The following is a 21,405-nucleotide window of genomic DNA, read 5'->3' on the forward strand; positions in this document are numbered from 1 at the left end:
AATATGACATCAAAGCTAAAGGATGGCATGTGGACTCACAAGCATAGTAAGTTCACAAGCAGCCACGCTGCTACTGGTACACTTTCTTGGCGGTGAATCTCAGTGGGTTTTTTCCCACCAGCTAGGAAACCGAGGCCAAAGATTCTGACCTTGAACATGAATGTCTCTGGTCTACATACGTAAAGTGCTAGAAGTCACTTTTGGTTGGAACTCACCAGGACTAAAGGAGCTGTTACTTCTTATGAAATGTAAATCTACAACATGGTAATTTGAGACAAGAAAGATGAAGGAACAAAGGGCCCTATGGGCCAACAAAAACTAGTATAAAAAGAATACTGATGATATAAAACATACCCATAAAGGTTGATTTTCTCTCCCAAAGGCCATTAATCCGATTTTATTTTCATACATCCCTGCACATTTTAAAAGGTAGTATATGGTGTGTATATTCACAAAGTGACACTGAGGTATCAAAAGTTTAGCATATCATCCAGAAACAGAAATTTTCATCAATACAACAATACCTAAATCTTTCTGTCTCTCATTGTTATATAGGTGTTTATTCATCTACTAGAAAAAAGGAAGATGCAAAATAAGGCAAAGAATATAACATCGAAAGGCAATTGAACAAAATTTTAGCTCTGCCCTATGTTATCAAAATGCCCCCAGAGAAACATTCATTACCATTTGGAGAGGAAAAGAGAAGCATTTACTAAGGACACTTCTAGAAAAGAAATCTGCTACCATAGCTGAGTCACTATGCTAGGATTTAAAGAGCTCTGGCAAACAAAAGTGAATGTTTGCAATGTTATCCTAAATGAAGCCTATAATAATTTAGAACACTTTTCCTTACATATCCAAAGTACTATCATCTAAAATAATTATTTAGAACACATTACCAATCCAGTGAGTAGCTTTGGAAACTAGATTTCCTGGGTATTAATAAAATTAATTAACCATGGAGAATCAGAGATATAAATTATTAGATACCAAAATTAGTCAAAATGTGGAAACAAAGTACAAGAATTAGTATTAAAAAAGGAAACTTTAAAATAGCATGGCTAATTCTCTATGGCAATGTCACAATCCTAGTAACTTGAAGAAAAAAAAATTTGTTTTTAACATATACTAATGTTCTTATTTGGATAAGGGCAAAAAGGGATACGATTAAGAAAATGTGGCACATATACACCATGGAATACTATGCAGCCATAAAAATGGATGAGTTCATGTCCTTTGTAGGGACATGGATGAAGCTGGAAACCATCATTCTCAGCGAACTATCGCAAGGACAAAAAACCAAACACCGCATGTTCTCACTCATAGGTGGGAATTGAACAATGAGAACACATGGACACAGGAAGGGGAACGTCACACACCGGGGCCTGTTGTGGGGTGGGGGAAGCGGGGAGGGATAGCATTTGGAGATATACCTAATGTTAAATGACGAGTTACTGGGTGCAGCACACCAACATGGCACATGTATACATATGTAACTAACCTGCACGTTGTGCCCATGTACCCTAAAACTTAAAGTATAATAAAAAATAAATAAATAAAATAAAATTCACCTAAAAAAACAATTAAAACTGATTAGAAAGACAAGAAGTTCAAATAGCTGGGCATGATAAGGAGTTTTATTTTTAAAACACAAATTTCACCCTTGTTCATACTTGGGTAGAGAAGCTGAAATTTTCTCTCTACATAAAGTACAATAAGACAATTTATCTAATCTTTGTATTTGGAAAGATCTGGTTACATCTTCAGAAAATTCTCCAGATTTCTTAAGTTTTCAGGATGTCACACTTGCACATGGGACATGTCCTATGGGCTAAAAGCCAGGGGTCAATGCATGCCTTATGGAAAAAATGTTTGCAAGTTAAAATGCGTACTACATCTTGGGGTTTGTATGTGTCAAAGCAAACAACACAGTTGTCTTCATTTAGGTCTAATTCCTCATCCCCTTCTTTGAGAACTCGCAGTTGAAGCTGGTCAATAGCTTTCTTCACATCTGTCTTTATTTGACTTCGCCTCCTGGTGAAAGAATTGGGCACTCTAGGTGTAAGTCTCCAGACGCAATCTAAGTAAAAGTAGGCAATTGTGGCAGCCAGGAAGGTAAATAGATACATGATGTAATGGCTCACCCACTGCATGTGCATTCTCCCCACTTCAATGATGACTGTCACATAGACTCCTTTCTGAATCGAGTGCAAAATTTCCATGCCTTTCAGGTTGCTTATCATCACCGCGACTATATTTTCCGTCCCCTGGTGAGACATGGGAAATACTTTACTGCCCGTACCTTGATAGTTGTAGATGATCACCCCATTTGCTCCCTTCTCTGCTGCCACGTTGATTTTATGTGTAAAAGTACAGCCTCCACGTTCGATGAGGGCCAGCCATGAGTCTGCCTGTTTGGGCCTGCTGAAATTGGTCAAAGGATGACAGGCATTCTGATTCCATCCTTCAGGAAGTGCCACCACACCAGACACCCTTTCCAGAGGAGAATGATTCCCGAACACTCCACTCTCTCCTAATTCCGATGTGATCTCATTTCCAACCTGAAATGTTATATTCAGGTGAGCTGTCCAAATGGCTTTTCCGTTTGAGTCAGGAAAGCTAAGTAGTAGAAAGATACTAAGCCTCAAAAGTCCAGATGAAACAGAACTATGCGTCGAAGGGGTAATTCTAAGGAAGCTCATGCCTCCATTTGTCTATTAAGAGACAAACATGAGAAAACAAAACAACATCAGTTGTAGAAGAACATAAAGAAGATAGCTTGTTGGCGGCAGATTACTAAAGCACATAAATGGAAAAGGTCTCCCTGGATCAAAGCTATCTTGCTCCTTCCAGTATTTTAATATTTAGTAGATTATCTTTCTCATAATGAAACAAAATAACAAGACTTGTGATTGGTACCATGTGATTTCAAGAAAATTATGACATCCAAATGGGGAAATTATGACATCAGAGGTAGTTAAACCAATCCAAGAGTTTATATTAGTGCATTGCATCCTGAAATCCTATTGGCCAAAAAGCTAAGCAATGAGTCAAGATACATAACAATTTGAATAGGCTGTAAAGCAATAAATAAACTGGTAAGAATTTTTTAAAGCCTTGGGTTTCTTCCTTAGTTCTGGAGAGACTGAAAATCTACCCAGCCATATAATGTTTTTTCTAGCTGTAAGGCAAAGGCAAAGATAAAAATAATTCATGTATTAGTGCATGTACCTGGGCCAGTTGCCAGTTTTCATGCATGGTTCAACACTACCCAATATGGCATTCTGTGGGATGGTTCAACACTACCGAATATGGCATTCTGTGGGATGGTTCAACACTACCCAGTATGGCATTCTGTGGGAAGTAGGAGCAAACCATTCCCACCCACTTCCCACATTAAATGCCTATCCCACACCTAAAGATCCAACACTAAGAAAACAGTGTAAACTCTTATTGTTAGCCTAATACAGTCCCATCTTCTGGTAAGAACCTACTATGTGCTGGCAAATACTGAGAGTGGACATATATTGGAGAAGAAAATAGAGACGGCCCTACTCTTGTAGAGGCTAAGGATTTTGGATGATGTCCCAAGGACAAGAGAAACACACTGTAGGGTTCTAAGCCAGGGAGGTGACAAATGTGTTTCAAAATGTTCACTTTGGTTGCTTTATGGGGAAAATGTATTGGAGAGGGAGAATAACAAGAGAATGAGCTTAGGCAAAAGAAGATAGTGGCTTGGACTCAAAGTAGCAGCATAGATGTAGAGACACAGACAAAGGCTGAATAACAGATTTAGTAACTGGAAGGACAGTAGTGGGAAGAGGAAAGGATGGCCACAATGATAAAAAATCACTACATGATTTTTGCAAATTACAGAATCTTTACGGCTTTAAAGATGCCTTATTGTTTAGTTTTATCTTAAATCTTTATCTAAAGTCTGTTTCAAGGAGCCAATAAATTGGCAACACCCACTCAAAAATTTATTTTCTATCATGTATAGGTTATCTTCTATGTGCTCAGCATGCCACAAAGTCCTAGGGATAGAAAAAGAAAAGACCTTATTTCCTAGTGTGAAAAATGGACATGAACATTTAATCATAGACATGATAGAGTTTTCTCATTTGGACAAAAGCATTTATTGTATTCCCTGGCCTATTTTAGTTAATATTTGTTAGTATTCCCTGTATTTTAGTTAATATTTGCTTTTTTAAAAAAAAACTCTAGGAAACAGTCTACTTGTCCCATTCATGCAATTCTGTTGAAGCATGATTCAGGTAACACCTGAACTGTCCTTACAGGTAGACTTTTTTTTTTTCATGTTCAAATGGAGTGAATTCCTGGCTGATTCTATTAACAGTGACAAATTGAAGCCTCATTAAGAAGACGGTTTAACATCATCATATTAGAGGTAATTTGTTAAATCTGTGATTATTTAACCTTTGGAAGTAGGATTACAAAATAATATAACTCTGACTTTTTATTTTGCAGATTTTTTGTGGGTGAAGTGTTTAACCTGTAACTATATTTTGCTTCAAAACATATCTCACATCAAAAGGTTCTCTGTATGGTTGAAAGGACCAATTTGAGGAACTTAGCTCATTCATTCTATTTTTCTCATTATAATATAAAGTGGTTAAGGCAATGATAGAACTGCCCTCTCTTCTGCCCTCGTCTTACAACAAAATAGACCTATAAGAAACAATCATCTATCTCTTAAAAAGTGGTTTTCAACTTGGGGGCAATTTTGCCTCTCAGGGGACATCTGGCTGCTTCTGCAGACATTTTTTGATTGTCACAATTAGAGAGTGCTACCAGCATCTAGCGAGTACACACCAGCGTTGCCACTAAAACATCTGAAAATGCACATAGTAGCTCCACATAATAAGAAATTATGTGGTCCAAAATATCAATAGTAAGGTTAAGAAACCCTAATCTAATGAAACAGCCTGAGGAGAGAAGCATCCCAAAACTCTCCCAACCCCGATGGGTGGTCAGGTATAAATTCTCGACACAAAATAAGCTTTTATAATTGACAATGCTTCCATCAAGGATGAGGCCCTCAATGCAACTTAATTTCTCTAGTTTTCCCTGGAATAGAAACAGGAGAGATCTGTACAAGTTACCTTTTAGTCCATTAAGTATCATGACAAATTGCATATATTTTATCAGAATGAGGTCTAAGAGTCTTCCTGGAACCGCATGTGACTGGGAGACAGAGAGAGAGACTGGATGATTGAGGCTACTGTAATCTGTTCCTTTTAGATCATTTATTCAATACATGGACATTCTTTCTAACAGCCAAATATTGAAGAGTTTTTCATTCTGTTGAATTTTGCAGGTAGGTTACAGAGAATTGAAATATATTAGTAGAGATAATATATAATATGTAATATAATATTATATATTATCTATATTATATATTATATATATTTATATTATATATTATCTATATTATATATTATCTATATTTATATTGTGTATTATCTATATTATATATTATATATATTTATATTATATATTATCTATATTATATATTATATAATATATTTTATATATTATATAACATTTATATATATTATATATGATATATAATATATTATATAATATATCTCATATATAATATATTATATAATATATCACATATTATATATAATATATCATATATTATATAATATATCATATATTATATAATATATAATATATATAATATATAATATATGATATATTATATAATATATATCATATATAATATAATATATATGATATATAATAATATATATTTATATATAATATATATTATATAACATATTATACATATTATATATAATATAATATAATAAATATAATATAATATATAATATATTATATAATATAATATATAATATATTATATAATATAATATATAATATATATATAATATAATATAATATATAATATTATATATTATATAATATTTATATATATTATATATTATATAAATATATATTATATATTCAAGGATTTATATATTCAAGGAATATATATATGTTTATATATTCAAGGAATATATATATATGCTTATATATTCAAGGAATATATATATATGCTTATATATTCAAGGAATATATATATGCTTATATATTCAAGGAATACATATATATGCTTATATATTCAAGGAATACATATATGCTTATATATTCAAGGAATACATATATGCTTATATATTCAAGGAATATATATATGTTTATATATTCAAGGAATATATATATGCTTATATATTCAAGGAATATATATATATGCTTATATATTCAAGGAATATATATATATGCTTATATATTCAAGGAATATATATATATGCTTATATATTCAAGGAATATATATATATGCTTATATATTCAAGGAATATATATATATGCTTATATATTCAAGGAATATATATATGTTTATATATTCCTTTTGTAGGCAGGCTAAAGAGAACTGAAACATATTACTAGGGTTGGTTCAACTGGTTCAAAAAGTCATTCTACCTAACTCTTGTTAACAGCGAATATGTATATATATATATATCACACACACTTAAGAGATAGGTTGTGTGTGTGTGTATATATATATAGTTACATGCTCTTAACAAGAGATAGGTAGAACATACATATATATATTCTTTTATATATACATATTCCTTGCTCATATATATGTATATATACTTATATAAGAGCAAGGAATATATATATATATAAAATGTATGTGTGTGTGTGTACATACATATATATATACACACACACACATATATATATATGTATGTACACACACACACACATTTTTTTTTTCCAGAAACTTACCAGACTTCCCTCAATGTCTCTTTGGCTAGAATTGCTTCACAAACCCATGCCTAATGAAATCCTTGGAAACCGGAGTGGAATCATCATGATTATCTTAGGTTAATCATGATTTATCCTGTTGTAGAGAGCTCTTTCCCTGGCTGAGCACATGGCCAGAGGAAGGGTGAAGATTTGAATGCTGTGTTACTAAGGGGAAAGACATGAACCAGAAGGTAAGCAGGCAGGCACAATGGCAGTTACAGGCTCTAAATTCCTGAAGTATCCCCAAAGGAATAATACTTAACCATTAACCGCAACAAACATGTAATATGCACTGTACACAAGGCACTGACATGAGCCAGAGTCTCTGTTAATGGGGACACAACATGGCTCTGACCTTAAGGAGGGCATCATCTAGGCAGAATAAAAGAGTTACATGCAAGTTGGATGTATATATGCATGTATCCTATAACTTCCAGGCGCCAATTAAATTTTTTAGAAGGTTATAACTATTATTAAGAGAGAAAAAATCAACTAACTGACCTCTACCCCTCTGCTATTCTTTGATCTCTATGGGTAAGAGTGCTCACACTTCCAGAAATCTCTACTCCAATAAAGCAAAACAGATAAATACAATCACATTGCACTGCTCAGATAGCATCTTTAAGATGAAAGGAAAACCAATAAACTACCTCACAAGTGTCAGTATCCAGAGCTATAATATCATGAGAGCTCTCTAGGAATTCAAAAAACATTTATTTTGCATTTAGGCTCAAACACTACAACTATGTATGTTTTTTTTGCAAGAAATTAAATGAATCATAACGAGATCTGAGGAAAACAGAATATTGACTCTAAAGTACCTCACTGAGAGCAGCACAAAAGCAAAGAGTACTAATGATAATATTTTTCTGAAAGCAGAATCTTTACTTTTACAATTTTTAATGTTTTCTTATATATATATATATGTTATTATTTGCAAGCATCTCCTCTAATTACAGCTAATATATTACTGGTTAAAAAAACTTCATAGTTTCATGTAACAAAACTAGTTTATATAAAGGCATTTCTGGATTGTGGCAACTATAATTCTTATTTCTATATATATATTTTAAGTAAATTTTGTTGTGTATATTTAATGTGTATAACATGATGCTGTAAGGTACACATATATAGTAAAATGGTTGCTATAATGGAACAAATGACCATATCTGTCATCTCATATAGTTATCCATTTGTCCTCCTGTTGCAAGTGCTGCTATAATCTACCCATTTAGAAAAAATCCTGATATAATTCCCTCTACAAAATTAACTATTCTATTAATCTCCTTGAAGGACAGGATTAAATCTTATTCTCATCTTTTTAATACCCAGCTTCTAGGACAATATCTACCACATCATAGGTTCTCAATAAAAGTTGAATTAAATTGATAGCGTCATTATCCTCTGTATTCTATCCAGTAATATTCCTTATGCAAAATTGTATCTACTGAGTTTTATCTTCAGAAAGGTGATCATTTCAGTAAGAGTATAGGATAGTTAGAATATTCATAATGAGTTCAACTGATTCTATATATGTACACACAATATGTGTGTGTATATATATATGTGTGTGGATATATATATATATATATATATATATTGGATATGTAGATCCAAACATATTGTATTCGAGATATATATATATATATATATATATATATATATATATATATATATATATATATCTTCCTTGCTCTTAGCAATCATAAAACTTGATTCCTTAGCCATACCTTAATACAAAGATAAATGAGCATTTGGAATATGATCAAATCCATTTAAATTGTAATGGGCATAAATAAACTAAATTAAACTCTCTTCTTCATTCAGAATTCAAGTCATGGTCTACATAACTTTAACAATAAATTGAAAACAATTTTTTCCTTATTCAGTCTACCGATTTAGAAGATAGAATGGTAATCAGAGTAGGAACTCATTATTACTACTCTGGGAAGTAACGGGGGGAAAAATTCACATTGTAGTCTTTGCACTAGGAGGCAGAAGGAAGAGGTAAATAGTCTTAAGTAAACACAAGATTAAGACAATATTTGGCCGTAGTATAATTATTATCTTTGAGCTCGGAACAAAATGTATCTTCATATTAACTCAACCATTTAGACTGGATTTTTGTTTGAGGCAGTGGTGAATAGGCAATATACTCAAAAGAGGAAAAATATACCAAGCAGATTCCTTTAAATCACCACCAGCAATTGTCCTGTTCTCTTAATAGGCTACTCTGCCCTTCTCATTATTAAGATCCAAGGATGAGGACCAAAAGGTTCTGCAGGCTGCTTCTGGGACTCCATCATTTCAAGATTGTCCTAAAGCTTAAAACAGACTCTAAATCTTCCTAAGCCACAAGGATATGAACAGACACTTCTCAAAAGAAGACATTTATGCAGCCAAAAGACACATGAAAAAATGCTCATCATCACTGGCCATCAGAGAAATGCAAATCAAAACCACAATGAGATACCATCTTACACCAGTTAGAATGGCAATCATTAAAAAGTCAGGAAACAACAGGTGCTGGAGAGGATGTGGAGAAATAGGAACACTTTTACACTGTTGGTGGGACTGTAAACTAGTTCAACCATTGTGGAAGCCAGTGCAGCGATTCCTCAGGGATCTAGAACTAGAAATACCATTTGACCCAGCCATCCCATTACTGGGTATATACCCAAAGGACTATAAATCATGCTGCTATAAAGACACATGCACACGTATGTTTATTGCGGCACTATTCACAATAGCAAAGACTTGGAACCAACCCAAATGTCCAACAATGATAGACTGGAGTAAGAAAATATGGCATATATACACCATGGAACACTATGCAGCCATAAAAAATGATGAGTTCACGTCCTTTGTAGGGACATGGATGAAATTGGAAATCATCATTCTCAGTAAACTATCGCAAGGACAAAAAACCAAACACCACATGTTCTCACTCATAGATGGGAATTGAACAATGAGAACACATGGACACAGGAAGGGGAACATCACACTCTGGGGACTGTTGTGGGGTTGGGGGAGAGGGAAGGGATAGCATTAGGAGATATACCTAATGCTAAATGACGAGTTAATGGGTGCAGCACACCAGCATGGCACATATGTAACTAACCTGCACATTGTGCACACGTACCCTAAAACTTAAAGTATAATAAAAAAAAAAAAAAAATGACCTTCTGCCAACCCAAAAAAAAAAAAATCTTCCTAAGCCACAATCAGTCATTGAAAGTTTGCATATGCATTGCCTTCCTAATACAAGTCCTATGATGGTTAACTCTGAGTGAGTCTGTGGTTAACTCTGAGTGAGTTCCCAGCAGTCAGAAATAACAGGGCAGAGGTGATTAAGGAGATTTTCTCCTTACGTTTTTCCAATTCACAGATCACAAAACCCTTTCTTATTTGTTATATAATTTAATCCCTCCCGTGAAGGAGCAGAGAAAAACGATGACAACAACATGAGCATAGAGACATCACACTAGCAGAAACAGTGAACAGTGTATTAAAGCACCAGGCCGTGTGACAGATGTGTCATGTAGTGAAATCCAGTTTCTGCTACATGCTAGCCATTTAAGCTGAGCCACATTGAGCCTCAGCTTTCTCATCTGTAGTCTGGAAAAGTAAAGTCTGCCTCTAGGGCCTTGATGAGTATTGGATGACATATTTCACTTCTGTTTGTAAATCGCCAAGCACACTGCTAGCTTAGCTTGGTAGGTATTCAATAAATGGGCCTTCCTTCCTCTTCTCAATCCTGAAAAACTTTTTCTTCCATTTTCCAGCTAATAAAATTCCCATCATCTTTACAGACCCATTTCAATCTCCCATTTGTGATCTCCCTAGCCAAAACCACCTGTTCCTATGACACATTATTTTTGTACCTATTTGGCAGTCATTTAATTTTGCCTTATATTATATATAATTAGAGGCATATATGTCTGTCTATACTTTCACTTGGTTTAGAATATCTTGTGAGCAGTGGTCTTATCTGATTCATTTTTTAAAAATCCTGTTTTCTCCCTTCTGTCTCTACACTAGCACAATAAAACTTGCTCAAGGTCCCTGACAAAATGTTGATTTTCAAGTACTTTCTCTTCAAAATATTAAGACATATCTGGAGCTTTTATAATCTATGCTTTATACAACTACTCACTTTTTTAAAGAAAGAGAACAGGCAATGATTTGACAAGTCTTCCCTCAGTTAAGAATTACATTGACAACAGTTGTCCAGAAAAAGGCTTATTTAATATCACAGGATCAGAGGCCATCTGTCTTACATTTTCTCTCCAAAAGTCGAGAATAAATTTCATCTACATCTCTGTATCTGAAAAATGGACTAAATATGGAATAATATGCAGCCATAAAGTAATAACCATTTCTAACATATAAGCAGCAGCCTTTACAGGGATAAAAATTCTCCTTTAATTATTTTTATGTAAATGAATATATAGCTATATCTCTCAAGATATTTAAATATAGATCTACAACTATATATCAGGTCATGAGCCCCAAAGAGTCATTATTAAGAGAAAACTATACCAATTATGTATACCATGGTACCTCAGAGAAAACTCTAACATTACATCAGGAGTAATAGTTAAAAGAAAAAATTTCTAATTGCAACCAACTTTTTCTCCAATCCAGAATGCCTTCTATTTCTACCCCAAGTGACAGTTGAATCCTGCAGTCCCCACAAAGCTTCCCTGATTAATTCAGTGCAAAGTGAGTTCTTTTTCCTATGAACTGTCACAATATATGTTTTACATTTTTTTTCTTTTTTTAGACAGAGTCTCTCTCTGTCACCCAGGATGGAGTACAGTAGCGTGATCTTGGCTCACTGCAACCTCTGCCTCCAGGGTTCAAGCGATTCTCCTGCCTCAGCCCCCTGAATAGCTGGGATTACAGGCACGTGCCACCACACCCGGCTAATTTTTGTATTTTTAGTAGAGACGGGGTTTCACCATGTTGGTCAGGCTGGTCTCGAACTCCTGACCTTGTGATCCACCTGCCTCAGCCTCTCAAAGTGCTGGGATTACAGGTGTGAGCCACCACGTCCAGCCATGTTTTTTATTTTTGTATTTAAACATATTTTGCAGTTAAAACAGTACATACAGCATACATGTACATTTTTAAATTTAAAAAAAAACACTCTTGTATCTTTTAAGCAATAAGCACTATTTTCTTCATACTCTACATCCTTTCTTAGGAAATTATTTCTATAATATCTTGTGATATTTTTCTTCTAGTGTTGAAAACAATGTTACTTTTTCCCCCTCTTACAAAGGTTGTCATCTTTACCTCTCAAATTATAAGATTTTCGAGGGCAGGACTTCGCTATGCTCCTTCATCTTCCTACAGGACCCAGTGCACTGATTTGTATCAATTTCTTATTTGATTTGATATAACAAAGGTGCTTCTCTGGCATGACTAAGGACCTGCCATGCCTTAGTTGTTTTTCATATTCCCTCTAGAAGCACAATCTAAGAACCATCTATTCAAAATGTCTACATTATTGATTATTTCACTCATTCGAATATTTATCAAGACCCTACTATGTGCATAGTACTTAATAGTAAGTGCACACAATTTTAGGGCTACAGCACTGATCAAAAAGGAACAATCTCCTGTCCTAATGACTCTTTTGTGTACCCAGGGATTCAAAGATGAGGTCATGGTTATATTTTTTCCAAGGAACTGACTTTCTGATATGATAATACGCTAAATAAGGTATGAAGGAAGGACCAGAGAAGCACAGTATCTTAGTCTGTTTGGGCTGTTATAACAAATTACCATAAACTGGGTAGCTTATAAGCAGTAGAAATTTATTTTTGCACAGTTCTGGAGGCCGAGAAGTCCAGGATTAAGTAGATTTGGTGTCTCATGAGGGCTTGCTTTCTGGTTAATAGAAAGCACCTTTTCGCTGTGTTCTTACATTGTGGAAAGAGTAAGGGGGTCTCTCTCAAGCCTCTTTTATAAGAACACTAATTCTACTCATGTGGGCTCTGCTCCCATGAGCTAATCACCTCCCAAAGTCCCCACCTCCTAATACCATCACCTTGGGGGTCAAGATTTCAACATCTCAAGGGGAACACAAACATTCAGGTTACGGCACACACAAAAATAAATCCTGTCCCCAAGGTAGGACAGTTTAATCATTATATAGTTCTGATATCCTAAGTTATCACTTTCCTTAGGATATTTCATACAATGAAAAACAAAGCAGCCCATACAGCATATCTGTTCACAAAGTTTCCTTCATTCAGATCTGATGGAGCTTTAAATTTTTATATTTAAAAACAAAGCTTTGTTTTATATAATTTTCACAGTCTTAAGTCTCGTTAGTTTTACCAGGAATAGCAATTGTTGAATTTTGCAAGTTTAATTAATTTTTAAGCCAGACTGCCTGAGTTTAAATCCTGTACTTAACACTAGCTCTACAACTTAGGCAACCTATCTAAACTCATGTGCCTTAGTTCCCTTACCTGTAAAAGAGAGATAACATTAGTACCAAATTTTTGGGACTCCCATGAGGATTAAAAGAAACAATGCACAGTCTTTAAAGCACTTAGAGCACTACTTGGCTCATACACAAACTGATGTGTGTTCACTGCCAGCACCCATCATATTTAAATCATTGTCTTATTCACCCAATTTACTAAAGATGATGCCATGATCTGTAACCATTTTTTTCAATCTTAACAATTGTAAGGAAGTTTCTATTTTGACATAAAATATTGGTAAAGAAAAAAAAAAGTGATAAGTATCACTTTTCCATATATAACATATATTCTTGAAGACAAGTGATCTCTTTACACAAATACCTAGTAACACCTCCAGCTAAGCAGCTAGTATTTGAATGCACATTAGGGATAAAATATTTCATGATTCATAGAAGATGCATGAAAACAGTGATAGAACTTACTTATTATACATTTTATAGTTATAATGTACAGGCCAACTTTAAAAAACAAAAAGGTCTTTTTTGTTCCCTCACATCCACAGACCACCCATAAAAACAAAAGTAAAACAAAGAAGTAAAGCTTTTCATTAGCTCTGCTGGCACAATATTTTTCAATATGTTGACAAAGAGCCTGGTTTCTCCAACTAATTATTACATTCATAATCCATGTCAAACTTCAAGAAGAACATTCATGTCACCAATGATTCAAATTTAGTTTGAGATTTAGGGAAAAGAGGAGGTTACCATGACAGAAAGCAAATGTTTGTATAATCCACTTAAACAACTAGTTCTAGCAAGACCTAGAGGTAAATTATTATTGTTCTAGTAGTTTCTATTTATTTGGTAAGGTTATACTAACAGATTACTCAGGTGGGAAAAGTAAACGATATTCCATAAAAATCGAGAAGCAAAACGACATGGTTAATCTGAAAATACATGTAAGTAGCAGTCTATACCTACAAGAATACAAAGTGGACATAGTATTCACTGTTTCTATCAAATCTACAACTTTCAGATTGTTTCTAGCTGTCTTTAGTATTTAGCTTGATTTCCTATGTCTCATTTTACTTACATTTCCATTTTAAAATCTTTGGTAAACAACTTCTTTTAATGTTTTACTATCATCATTTTTTTAAAAAAACAAACAATAAGTGGGGCTATGGGTAAAACAGTTACAAAAAGAATCCATAGTCAAGTGGAGAGACGAAGGACCCAAAAATTTGCTTTTTGCATGTTAATTTCTTACCAAAACAAATACATACAAGATGGGCTATGAAGGGTAAGCAATAAATCTTCAAGAGGAGACTAGCACAAGATCCATTGCCACTCATAGGAATAAGTCTATTTACTCACAAGGTGTTTCGTATAGTGTTCTTACAAAACTGTACTAGCTAATATTTCAAGTGTATTACTTATAATTTGTTGAATAATAGAAACTTACAGTAATAATAAGTTCCGATTTGAGTCTTTACTTAACATTTGGTGTTTAGCACTCTGTCTTATCTCATTTAAAATTCACAACACTGCAGTGAAGTAGACACTATCAGAATCTCGTTTTATCAATTAGAAAATGGAGATCAAGTGTGTAATTGGTTAAACGTCATACAGCTATAAGTGGATGAACCACAGGAAGACATCTCCCCTAGAGCTTCTAGAGGGAGTACAGCCCTATTGATACCTTGACTACAGACTTCTGGCCTCCACAACTGTGAGAGAATAAGTTTCTGTTGTTTTAAACAATTCCGTTTATGGCAATTTGATACAGCAACTACATGAAGCTAATAGAGCTTATTGGTCATTTAAGTTTCCTATTCTTTGACTTGTTATTCATATCCCTTATTCACATTGTTCAGGGATTGTCTGAGTTTTCATACCGATATACAGGAGTTATGGACACACCTTAGATTTTAAGCCTCTGTTGACTATAAGCACTGTAATGCCTTTCTCAGTCTTTGGCAGCCAATGTCCCTAGTTAGGACTGGTTAGGCCTCAGAACCCTATCTCCTAGGTAAGGTTTCTCCTTCCAGAACGCAGATGGCAAAGTGGTGACTTGAGCTTGTGAATAAGACACATGAATCCATGATTGGCTCTTTTATAACTGACACAGGATTTCCGTGCCTTGTAATTTAAAAGTAGCAAATATTATTCTGCCTATGCCTTAAAAACATGAAAAAGACTCTCTTTTCTGTACACTGTCCAAACAGAGGTCATTCTGCTTTGAATAAGGTCTGAAGCATACAGGGTCTGCCTGTAAAACGAAAGCTGCTTTCCTACGGACAAAGATAGCTTTAGTCATCTTCTATGGTCAAAATTCTCACAGACACAAGGCTTAAAACCTCTCAACACAACGCATTGCAAAGAAAAAAAAAAAGCCAATTGTACAAGTACAAAAACCAACCACAGTGCAAAGCTCCAAAGTAAAAACCCCACATGGTCTGCCCCTAGTAAGGTACTACCAAAGCTTAAAGTCATCCACCCTGACACTAGCAGAAACAATAATGACATGATTTTGCTCCTCTAGATTTTACTAAGAGCTGTAATCTTCTATCTACAATTCAATATGAAAACTCTAAAGGTATTTTTTCCCCATAAGTATGCAGCAAATTCATTGGGGGAGGGGAAAAAACCTGATATTTCAAAATTGCTAGAAGAATACATTTCAAATGTTCTCATCACAAAAAAAGTATGTGAGGTGATAAATATGTTACTTAGCTTGATTTACTCATTCCATTTTGTATATATGTCATAACATCACATTATACACCATAAACATATACAATTATAATTTGTCAATTAAAATATTAATTTTTTAAAAAACTGATCTGAAGTAATGGAAGTCTATGCATTCATTCAGTATGACTATTCATATATGTTGCTGAAGGAATATTTGTTTTATGAAAAAAAGCCTGCCTCGGACCTTACTGGGGTACTATCTAACATGTGGCATATGTACTATGCTACATTTCTGATATCTAAAACAATGGTCCACACTGCATAGGGCAGGCCCACCCCCTTCTGCTACCATCACTACCAAAAAGGCAGGAAAATACAACCTACGTCTCTACTCCTAGACAAAATCCCTTGCAAAGCTAACAGCCTAAAAGAGCAGGGGTAAGGGAGCTCCCAGTCAGCAGAAAGCTCCACACAGAAAGGAACACATTTGGTTTTCTGTCCTTTGTAGGGTCGGGGGAGCGGGGAGGGATAGCATTAGGAGATATACCTAAGGTAAATGATGAGTTAATGGGTGCAGCACACCAACATGGCACATGTATACATATGTAACAAACCTGCACGTTGTGCACATGTACCCTAGAACTTAAAGTATAACAATTAAAAATAAATAAATAAATAAGAAAGGCAGGCATGCCTGGTTTCTCCTTCCAGCCTCATCTACCAGGTAAATCATGAGGAGGGAGTAAAAGGTAGAGTGCGACCAAGGGGCACTGACTCTGCTAATATGGTGGTTCTTGGGAGGGGTGGGGAATGGAGGGAGGCCCAGAAAGGGAAACACTGATTTATAAACAAGAAAGCAGAACCCAAAGGAAATAATGGGGTTTTGTCCCTACTTGCAATGTGAACATGACTTTTTCTACTAGAACACAAAATAAAATTTCAAATGTTGACAAACTCTGTAACGTGGTATCATTTCTGATTTTCAATATCCCAACAAAATTTGCCACTTAGAACTTTATAATGAGCTAAATGGCAAAACAAAGACTCCTTTTGTTGTGTGAATACTTCCTAATATATTTTTGATATCCATACTTTTGAATTCAGGATACAATTTATCCTACAGCTTATTTTCAACATACTTGTCTTTATCTTTCACTTGTTATAATTGTGAGTTAATTTTTCAAATAGGCTTGTCAAAACCCAATTAAGAAGTTATCTCATCTTCTCAATTTGGTCCCACAAAGCAAGTAAAGTTGACAAACATTTAGTAGCAATGCCTGAGTAGTCTGGCAACTTCAAAGATGTGTAAATTGAGGGTAAAAACACATAAAAACCAGATTACAAATAATTATTCCTGCATTTTTCAAATACTTTTAGAATAGGTAAGAATATTAAACTGAAAAGACCACATAAAAATGTTTACAAAAATTATAAGACACTTACTTATGACACAACTTACATATGATACTGGTTAAATGTTTCTATGTGGAAGTTATGTTGGAACTGAAAGAGTAATAACTAACTTTCATAACTAGATGTAAATACTCAAAATGAAGTAGCTTCAAGATTCAGGAGGGTAAACAACACTCTAATATAGAAAATCTTCTTATACAACCTGCAGCAACCGAAATCTTTCCATCCCTTTCATTGTTTAGCTAATGGGCCTTAAATTTATAAATGCACCTTGGTGAGGGCATAAGCATTTTCCCTGTGTAGTAAAATTCCTGTGCAGAAAAATATTGAAATACAACTCAATTATCCTAGCACAAGAGCAGTATATCCCACATTCTTTTTTGTCTGTTTGAAGACAAGGTCTTGCTCTGTCACCTACGCTGGAGTACAGTGACACAATCATAGGTCACTGCAGCCTTAACTAGCTGAGTTCAAGTGATCCTCTGCTTCAGCCTCCCGAGTTGCTGGTACTATATAGGTGCATTCCACCACACTCGGCTAATTTTTTTTTTTTTTTTTTTTTTTTTTTTTTTTTGTAGAGACAAAGTCTCTCTATATTGCCCAGACTGGTCTCGAACTCCTGGACTCAAAGCGATCCTCATGCCTCAGCCTCCTAAAATGTTGGGATTACAGGCATGAGCCACCACGCCTGGCCCCCTCATTCTTTAGTTTAAAAAAACACATTTAGAGTTTACTAAGCTAGAAGCTTTATATATGTAGTTTATGTGATTGCCATTATACAATTCAACCATTACATCTTAATTTGACTACTCAAAGAACTGCCTGTCAGCATTCTCCATCATATTCCTATATATCTGGAAATTTCTTGACATGGAAAAATGACAAGAAGGGGGAAGAGGATGTGGGAGGGGCAAAAGGAAAGCAGGTGAGTAGGGGAGAGAGGGAAAAGGAGGTAGGAGAGAAGTAGAAAGAGGGAGGAAGAAAGATGGGGAGGCTTAGGGAAAGCAGCCTATAGGATATTGCCAGTGAGCTCAGTCTTACAGGACAGGAAAAGTTCAGATAGTTAAGGGTAGCCATGGCCTTCTAAACAGGGAACAGAATAAATAGCAAGTTGTATATGGCATATTCAGTACCCACAGGTTTTTCTCCGTTGTTAACAGTCTAGTGAGTGTAACAAAGCTTAGTGAAATGAGGATACAAGAGTTGGCAGGGAACTGATCAAATGGGGCCGTGTTAAGGCTTTTATAATCCAAGCATTACAACACAACACTTAAAGAAAGAACCAAACGCTGTGGTCAAGCTGAAGCGCTGACCACTGACTACCTCTTAGAGGACCAAGTTGTGAGCTCAAGACTCTAATCATAAGCTGGTATGGGATAACAGAGAACAGATACAATGGAATTAATCTGTTTCTTAGAAAGAATGTGCCCAACAATCAATGGTCATGGTGGACTCTATCCTGCTTTCTCCTCCAACTTGGCTTCTCTAGAACCTGCTGGATTTATGATAATAATTACTTGCCACCTACTGTTTTGATAATAAAACTTTTAGGACTGACATCCTATGCCATAAATGTACACAATTTTGAGGAAGTGAGTAAAGGAAAAGCCACAGGTAAATCCCTCTACGTTATATAAACACAGCTCCCTTTGAATTCTCATCAGAGACATGGGCAAGCCAGGGTCTTTGGGTGTAGGAGGAGGGAGCCATGGGCATCAGTCACTGAGAGGGCCCTGAGGGGTGGGACAGCTTGACTGGTGCCAAGAGCTCTGCACAGAGGGGAAAGGAGAAGTGAGGAAAGGAAGAAAGTGAGGGGAAGAAGGGGTGGGGGAGAGAGAAAGGGAATGAGTGGCTTCATGCATGAGGAGAACAAGCTGGAAGTCCCCAACACAGCCTTCCTCCCTGCTCTGAACTTGTTCAAATCACCCACTTCCTCCGACTATCTGACTATCCCCCTATCCTTCTGTTAAAGAAGGCAGGGGGCCAAGTTCACACCAGAGCTGCCACCTTAGTGCACTGGCATGTGCAATGACGCCAATTTGAAAAACAAAGGCATGCTGGGCAGAAAGAGAGAGAGAAAAGGCTGGTCTCCACTTTCCTTCCTAACATGCACGAGCAGAGGTTAAGTGTATTTAATACTTTTATTCTTGAAGGTTCTTCACATCCATCTACAATCACTGACTTAATAACTTCTGTCCATGCTACACCATCAAATGTGCACATAAATTTATTAGGAAAGTAGAGAATCAGGTCGGCAATTAAATTCTATGTGATATAATAATTTTTAGAACAGAAAACTCAATAATGAAGCTAAAATCTCAGCAGTATATAAAGAATTAAATATATTCCAAGGTGATTGAAAAAAATCATGACTGAAAAAAAGGAAAAAATATCATCATTTATGGCTTTATCAAAATCTTGCATAGATTAATGGTCATTAGGGAAAGAAAAACTACCTCTCTGCAGTCATTTGTTGTAACATAGAAAATACAAGCTCATATAAACCATCTCAAAGAGGAAAGAACTTGCTCAATAAAGAGTTATTGGAATGGAAACTCTAATTATTAAAATAGTATTTCCTAAACATTATGCTTGAATTAAATACTGCAGTCTCCTCCTAACTTTGGAGCACTGGACTATTTCAATACCAAATAATCAGTGGATACTTGAAAGGTGACTGAGTAGAAGTAAAACCAATAGAACGTCATACTAAAAGTGTCAATCAGACCTAACGAGTCATTCTAGAGTTAACTATTTTAAAGGCAGTAAACGTATGCCATAATAAAACCACAATACCATTTAATTACACTTTTAGTTATAATTTCTAGAAGGAATTTGAGAGGACACGCAAAACATATCCAAACAAAATTAAAAACACATGAAAATAGTATTAATGCTGTAATTGTATATTCTTAAATATACTTTGACAATAAATAAGGTTTCAGGTACTGTGAAAGCATAAAAGATAACTTAATAGAGGTTTGTATATATATATACATATATATGTATACATATCTACATGTATATGTAGATATATGTATGTATGTATATATGTATATGTATATACGTATAAGTATATATACATATGTGTATGCAGATATGTATGTGTATGTATATATGCATGTGTCTGTATATACATACACATGTATATGTATATACATACATATATACGTATACATACATATATGTACGTATGTGTATACACACAGAGCGAGAGTGAGAGCCCGTGCGAAACTTTGGGATCTTTTAATATACCCCTAAAAAGGATATACCTCCTGTAATATTCCTAAAAGTGAATCACCTAGTTTCAGATTGAAAACTGAATGTTCATAAGATTACTGCCACACATAGAAACAACGATGAGAGTTAACAAGTAGAATTGATTATTGCTGTTTGAATATTATTAAATTTACCGACATAAAGCTGGGGTGTATTTTTTTGTACATCAAAAATGGCCAAATATTGGCAGTTTCATATGGTTTAACAAAAAAGCTATCATTTGAAATATATGTGCCAGGCGTTGTGTTAATTATGTTAACATACTTAATCTTAATTTTCAGAGCTTCATGAGAAATTCATGTATCAATTTCTGTGTGCATAATATTTTCATTTTGAGGTGGGCATCATCACATTCAAGTCCTCTAGGTTTGCTCAACACAAAAAGGAAAACTTAAAAGAAAGACATCATTGTCTTCAGTACCCCACTCCAAGCTGGTAAAGTCGGCCAGGACAATTCTAATAATTAATTCCTGCTTATAAATCTGTCTCTCCTTAGAGACACAAAAAACCCTTCAAAAAACCAACAAATCCAGGAACTGCTTGTTTGAAAAGATCAACAAAATTGATAGACTGCTAGCAAGACTAATAAAGAAGAAAAGAGAGAAGAATCAAATAGACGCAATAAAAATGATAAAGGGGATATCCCCACCGATCCCACAGAAATACAAACTACCATCAGAGATTACTACAAACACCTCTACGCAAATAAACTAGAAAATCTAGAAGAAATGGATAAAT

The 21,405-nt window shown here is 34.8% G+C and overlaps 2 protein-coding genes and 1 long non-coding RNA gene across 33 annotated transcripts in view; 1 reads left to right on the top strand and 2 right to left on the bottom strand.

The window, feature by feature from the left end:
- The window catches only part of CADPS2 (calcium dependent secretion activator 2), a 568,050-nt gene that overhangs the window by 381,638 nt on the left and 165,007 nt on the right, over positions 1-21,405 (bottom strand). The gene's annotated exons all lie outside the window — the stretch shown is intronic.
- RNF148 (ring finger protein 148) lies at positions 1,620-2,874 on the bottom strand. The gene has a single exon (NM_198085.2). It carries the CDS (start codon positions 2,700-2,702, stop codon positions 1,785-1,787), a length of 918 nt encoding a protein of 305 aa, NP_932351.1. The 5' UTR covers positions 2,703-2,874; the 3' UTR covers positions 1,620-1,784.
- Positions 3,044-21,405, top strand: part of LOC124901738 (uncharacterized) — a 44,981-nt gene continuing 26,619 nt past the window's right edge. The window contains exons 1-3 of one of the 4 annotated variants that reach the window (XR_007060502.1): positions 3,044-3,098; positions 4,331-4,408; positions 9,067-9,151. This is a non-coding gene — a long non-coding RNA (uncharacterized LOC124901738). Of the gene's footprint in view, positions 3,099-4,272; positions 4,409-6,847; positions 7,031-9,066; positions 9,541-21,405 lie in introns of those variants that run through there. The other 3 variants (XR_007060504.1, XR_007060505.1, XR_007060503.1) reach the window with 3 other exon arrangements.

This window comes from Homo sapiens, chromosome 7 (assembly GCF_000001405.40).
Source record: "Homo sapiens chromosome 7, GRCh38.p14 Primary Assembly".
Lineage (NCBI taxonomy): Eukaryota > Metazoa > Chordata > Mammalia > Primates > Hominidae > Homo > Homo sapiens.

Bases quoted from the DNA above. Each gene is read 5' to 3' on its own strand.
- RNF148 (NM_198085.2), bottom strand. From the start codon at position 2,702: ATGAGCTTCCTTAGAATTACCCCTTCGACGCATAGTTCTGTTTCATCT.